The sequence below is a fragment of the Homo sapiens genome, chromosome X, assembly GCF_000001405.40.
Source record: "Homo sapiens chromosome X, GRCh38.p14 Primary Assembly".
Taxonomy (NCBI): Eukaryota; Metazoa; Chordata; class Mammalia; order Primates; family Hominidae; genus Homo; species Homo sapiens.
Genome location: NC_000023.11, coordinates 68767687 through 68773872, shown reverse-complemented (window position 1 = coordinate 68773872; position 6186 = coordinate 68767687). Strand labels below are relative to the sequence as shown.

The 6186-nt window shown below is 43.5% G+C and overlaps 1 pseudogene; it reads right to left on the bottom strand.

Moving 5' to 3' along the window:
* On the bottom strand, nucleotides 1096–2508 carry ACTR3P2 (ACTR3 pseudogene 2; annotated as a pseudogene).

The window sequence follows — 6186 nt, the reverse complement described above, 5'->3', positions numbered from 1 at the left end:
TTGATGGATATGAGGGTCGTTACCATTTTCGGCTATTATGAATAAAGCTGCTGTAAACATTGATTTGTAGGAGTTCTTTATATATACTGGATATGAGTTTCTTTTTCAGTTTTAATTTATTTTTATCACTCTTTCTTCATGATCCAGATATTTTAAAATGCAAAGAAAATCAACTTTCAGGCCAGGTGTAGTGGCTCACACCTGTAATCCCAGCACTTTGGGAGGCCAAGACGGGCGGGTCACTTGAGGTCAGCAGTTCAAGACCAGCCTGGCCAACATGGAGAAACCTCGTCTCTACCAAAAATACAAAAATTAGCCAGACATAGGTGGCGGATGCCTGTAATCTCAGCTACTTGAGAGGCTGAGGCAGGAGAGCTGCTTGAACCCAGGAGGCGGAGGCTGTAATTTTAAAGAACTATTGCAGAGGTTTGAAGAAAATAGATTTATTAGTTAACTTATGAAGAGATTAAAGAGCTTGAAACAAGCATTAAAAAGAAATTTGTGCCTTTATTAGAATGTTGTTAGGCTTTAAATATGCCAATTTTGGTAATCAAATTATTGTTGTTGTTGTTGTTTTATAAGAAATGACACTACAGAACTGCAATACTGGTCCAACACTCTTGTCTTTACTGTTTTTTTAAAAGCAAGAAACAGAATGTGAGTAATCAGAAAGCAGCAGCAGGCATCAGTTAATCCAAGATATCAGCTCTTAGCTTCAAAAGCACTTGCAAAGAAAACCTTTTGGGGAGAAGGAGTGGAGGGGTATGGAAGCACTCCATAATAACCGGAATCCCATTAGTGTGTATGCCAAGTCTCATGGGGCTATTTTTTAAATTTATCCTTTACTTGTTCATGACTTTTCTCTCAAACACAATTTTTCTTTGACTTTTTAATCCTCAAAGTACAAAAAGTATGAAATATAAACAAGCTCTTGCATTGCACACTTAGAAGTATACAATTAAATAATTATAGAGCTATCTACACACTGATAAATCCATCAAATCTTGGATAATTCATTAACATACAAAATACCAGGGCACAGAAGGAACTAAAACCCACTTCTTTTGTTACACATACGATTCAAATATTCAATCTAAAAAAAATACAATCACTTTCTTTCTCTTCTACATTTGCATGTTGATACACTTATTAAAATATTTCTGTATAATCACGTTTGGTCTTACTATTTCAAGTCAGGTTTAAAACCTCAAAACCAGCCATCCAGACAAAACATAATGAAAAAGATTATCTCTTCTCCACCTCCCTAACCCCAATAACTATGAAGTCATTTTTATGACATGACTCCAAACACCGGATTGTGACGGCAAATGCTAGGTCCAATTTCTTCATAATGATTTTTAGTGTGGCATACTTGGTAGAACTCCGGCGTGGAAGCCAGCATTGATCCTCCAAACCAAACTGCATATGGCTGCATATGGTGTGTAACGACTTGTACATCAATAGATTTTGGCTTCAATCTACTGCCACTCAATTCCTTACTTAATTTCAGCCAGGCATCTACATACAGTTCTTTTCAAATCTCTTTGCAAGTGATATCCAAAGTCACTGAACATGGTTGAACCTACAGAGAGGACCATATTCTTATAGAGAGGCCGTCTGACATCAATAGGACAATTCTGAATTACTTCACCTACAATTTCTGAGATAGGTTATGTAAAGTCTGGATTGGCAAACTCTAGATGAAAAAAAGATTTCAAATCCCAAAAGTCTCTCAGAAACAACACCAATGGAAAATTCTTTCTTTGAGATAGCATTGATTCTGGTATACTGCTTAATCCATTTTGACCCATCTGTGTCATACTTGTTAAATTCCTTTACTAAATCTGGGCAGACATAACTATAGTGCTCCTTTATTGTCTTAGCAGTTTCCAGGGATTGTTTTTGAGGGATTCCTACTTCTTGGTCTCTCAGCAGTTGCGGAATAAAATATGTTATATTTCGTCCTGGGATTGGAATGTGTTTAATACAGTTGGCAATCAAATACCCTTCAGCCATAGCAATGACATGAGTGACACCATCTCCACTGTCTATTACTGTACCTGTAAATGTCCGTCCTCCTACTTGTCTGGAGGTCCAAGATGCAGCTAAGGCAAGAACAGCCTGCACAGCAATGTACAAGCCTGGAACACTGAAGGACTCAAACATTACTTCAGCAGTATATTCCCTGTTTTCTGGAGTATTAAGTCGAGGTTCAGACAAAATAAAATAACGGTCTTCAGTTTCTGCCCTTAAATATTTAAGATGACTTGCTCTATAAAACTTTTTGTCAGGTCCAACTTCAACTATACCATGGCGGATTGGCCACTTTGTTGCATATGTAGGTTTTTTCTACTGCTTCATCACCAATGAAGAAGTCTTGGTCATCAATACTTTTCATCACCCTCCTTTGAGATTGATCACCCACTTTTGGTGACTCCTTAGTAGCAATACAGGAAAGGATGATCAACTGTGGTTCTATATTTCTGGCATATCCTAGTTTTGTATACCCCATGCTACAGTCCACCACACAGGCCTGCAGCCCTCCCACCATTTCCCTGCTTGCCTGCTTCTGCTGCCGCCACTGTCTGCTCCATGCTGCTAGGGGACAGAGATTGGTGGTGGGAGACAGGGGCTATCTGACTGACCATACACAGCTGGGCCGCCCTCACCATTTGGTAGGTAGCCAGGAAGCCCAAGCAGTAGCAAGAAAGCAGCAAGCTCAGTCGGCAGCCATCACTTCTGCAACCCAGGCAGGCAGGTAGTCCTCTTTTTTGGGTATCTATATCTCAAATATTTTTTCTCTGAATGCAGTTACCTTTTTATTCTCTTAATTCATTTTGATAAAGAGAAGTTCTTAAATTTAGTGGAGTCTAATTTATCAATCTCTTCCTTTATAGTTAGTGCTTTTTATATCCTGTTTAAAAAATCTTTGCCCACCTCAAGGTCATGAATGCATCCTCCTGGCTTTTTATTTCCTAGAAGGTGCTTTACCTTTCATATTTAGGTCTATGATCCAACTGAAATTAATGTTTGTATGTGATGCAAGGCAGGAGATAAGGGTCATTGTTTTTCCCATGCAGGCAGCCAATTGCTCCTACCACTTACTGAAAAGATCGCTCTTTTCTCTACTAAATCACAGCAGCAGCCTTTGCTGTAGTTAGCTGACCTGTGAGTCTGTTTCTGGGTTGCAGTGATGTTTGAGCTGAAACGTGAATGAAGTAAGTGAAGGAGGCAGCCATGGTGCTAAGGGAGACAGACTATTACAGGGCCTAGACTAGGGTGCGGCCTTTTCCTTGGGCAAAAATTTAAGGGGGCACCAAAAACCTCAGTAATTAAGGTAAAGAATATTTTAATGCAATATTAAAACATCAGAATAAATGTAGAAAATCCATTATAAACAATATATCAAAATTGTACATAAAGGCAGGATGGGTATTACTGACTTTTCCTTTTGTCTTGGTGGGTCCCATATGGCTTGACAAGGCACTGATGCATAGAGTGCTGAAGGTGGGATTGGGGAAGCAGCCAGGAAGAAGTGCCTAATCAGCTCTGCCTGAAGTAAGGGAGGTGGGCATCAGAGAAAGCTGCCCAGAGGAGGTGACATTTGTCCTGGTCTCAAAAGAAGAGTAGGTGCTTTCCAGGCAGTGCCTGGGGTAGGAGGGCATCCCAGGCAGAATACACTGTGAGCTCTGCCAACAGTGGGGAGGGAGAGATGGTGAGAGAAGAGGCTGGAAAGATGAGCAGAAACCAGATGGCGAAGGGCCTGTCATTCCAGCCTGAGAAGTACAGGCTTTGTTTTGAAGGTGAAGGGAAGCTATGGATGCTTTTGGTAGTGGAATTAGTACATGTGGTGTTTAGGAAGAGGTTAACCTCAGCAGGCCTCCTCCCTCTGCCGTATCCCTGTCTGCTTGAGAAGTGGAATGGAAATTACTGTCAGAGTGCGACTTCCATGAAGGGGTGAGAGCTCCAGGGGAAGGAGCCCAGAGCCAAGGACCGTGAGGCTTCTACACCAGCCTTTAGTTCCCATGGGGACCTTATCTGAGTCATTGGCTCCTTTAGCTCTTGGCTTTCCAGCTGGATGTGGGACTTCTCCATCCTCTTGGCAGGTGGCCAAACACTTCCATGCTTTCTCTACTTCCATGCCACCTTCCCTGAGAAGTGGGCTCTTCTCACCCCCCATTGTCCTCTCCCTGCCTACCTGCCGCCTTAGCAGTCATAGTCTTTATGCCATGGAAATTTAAGGCTGAAAGGAGGTTTGTTCACAGACCATCTATGGTAGTGACTCTCAACTCTGCCTATCGATTGGAATCAGTTGGAAAACTTTATAAGTACTGATGCTTGGGTCCCACACACTGAGACTCTGATGTCTGAGGGATCTGGGCTGCGGCCTGGACATCTGGGGATTTCCAAGCTCCCCAGGAGATTCTAATGTGCAACCAAGGTCAAGGGCCTCTGATCCAGTGTTTCCCAAACATCACCAATAATGCCAGTGCCCTGGGATACTTGTTAAACCTACCCATTTTTGGACTCCACCCCAGAAGGGCCAGGGACAGGCTTCTTTCTGACTGGACTTAGGAGTAGAGTTCACAGCAGCTGGGTAACTCCCTTTTCCTCTTCTTCCTCTTCCTCCTCCTCCTTCTCCCACTCCTCTTACTCCCAGCCATGAGCCTCTGAACAAGCTGTGTGTGTTTGTGTGTGTGTGTGTGGTGCATGCTATGGGTGGAGGAGGTATGGCTAGGGGCCCCTCACAGAGCAGTTTGCCCTGGATTCCATGCTGGCAAGTTTATTGGGCAACAGGCAGATACTCAAAGCTTCAACAAACAAGTGTAGATTAAGCCTCAGCCCTGGGTGACACTGTCCCTTCCCCCTTTTTTAGCAACTGAAACCCTCCCCACCATGACCTGAGCCAAAACATAGGAGAAGAGGGTTGAGATAGGGGTTTGCCCCCTCCCGCAATCTAGCTTTTTCCTTCCTACCTTGGAAAAGACAGTATTGGGCAGATAAGCAAAAGATTGGGTGTGGAGGTGGGTTGGGAATCAGGGACAAGGATGAAGGAAGAGAAGGGGGCCAGGCTAAAGGTGCTGGGTGGGTACTGGGGTGTGGCCCCATAGGGGGACATCAGAGACACAGAGGCAGAGGTACAAGTCCCAGTGACTGAAGCTATAACACATCCCTTTAATATCCTCTGCCACAGAGAACTGCCAAGCATCAACTTGAAGGCTAGCCATAGAACTCTTCCAAAAATTTTTTGAGTAAATGAATATGTGGAGCTCCAGGGTTAGAAGGATATACTTCAGGGGCAGCTGTTGAGGGGCAGGCTGGTAGAGCTGACACCCCACCCTTTCACCAGAGCTGGTCTGCTTTTTCTTTTGGATATTTTTTTCTGTTAGCTTTCAGTTGAACGAAGGATTTTTATTATTATTTTTTTTTAGGTATAGAAACCACAGATGTGTTCCAATGTTTTCATGTTACAGATGAAAGGAAACTGAGGCTCAGAAGAGAGGAGAGACTTGCCTCAGTCTCACACAGTCAGTGACAGAACAGGAGCTGGGGCCACGTCTGTCTGAGGCCTAGAATTCAGGCTTCCTGAAACTGAGCATCATTTTCACCAGACTGGGCCTCTCTCACCCCAAACCTCTACTTCTCTATTTCCAGTCTACTTAGATGGCCTGGAGGGGTGGGAAGAAAAAAAGAAGGAGGGAAGAGAAGGAGGGAAGGAGAAGAAAGAAAGGAAAGAAGGAGGGAGGAAGAGAAAAGAGGAAAGAAAGAGTTCACTGCTGTGTGGAGAAATAAGCCATTTGTATGTCCTGAAGAAGGGGGAATTTGGTGAGGTATTAGAGAACCAGGATTTCCTTGAAGACCAGTGTTTCTCTGGGAGAAACTTGGCTGGACTAGAGACTGAAGCAAGGCAAGAGTTAGGGAAAAAATCAAACTTTGTCCTGAAGCGCCCCAGGCTGAACTCCATAAGGATTCAGGGTGCGTGGAGATGCCCCTCTTGTGATGTGTTACAGTCAAGTTCTGACTCTGGCTACAGTATTCACTGTGCATCTGTGAACAAATTGCTAAGCTTCTAGAGCCTCAGTTGTCAACTGGAGCTGGTACGCTGTTCCCTGTTCCCTCCCAAGGCTATTGTGAAACTGACAGAAGATGCAGATTAGGAAAGCCCTTTGATTCTCAAACATCTCT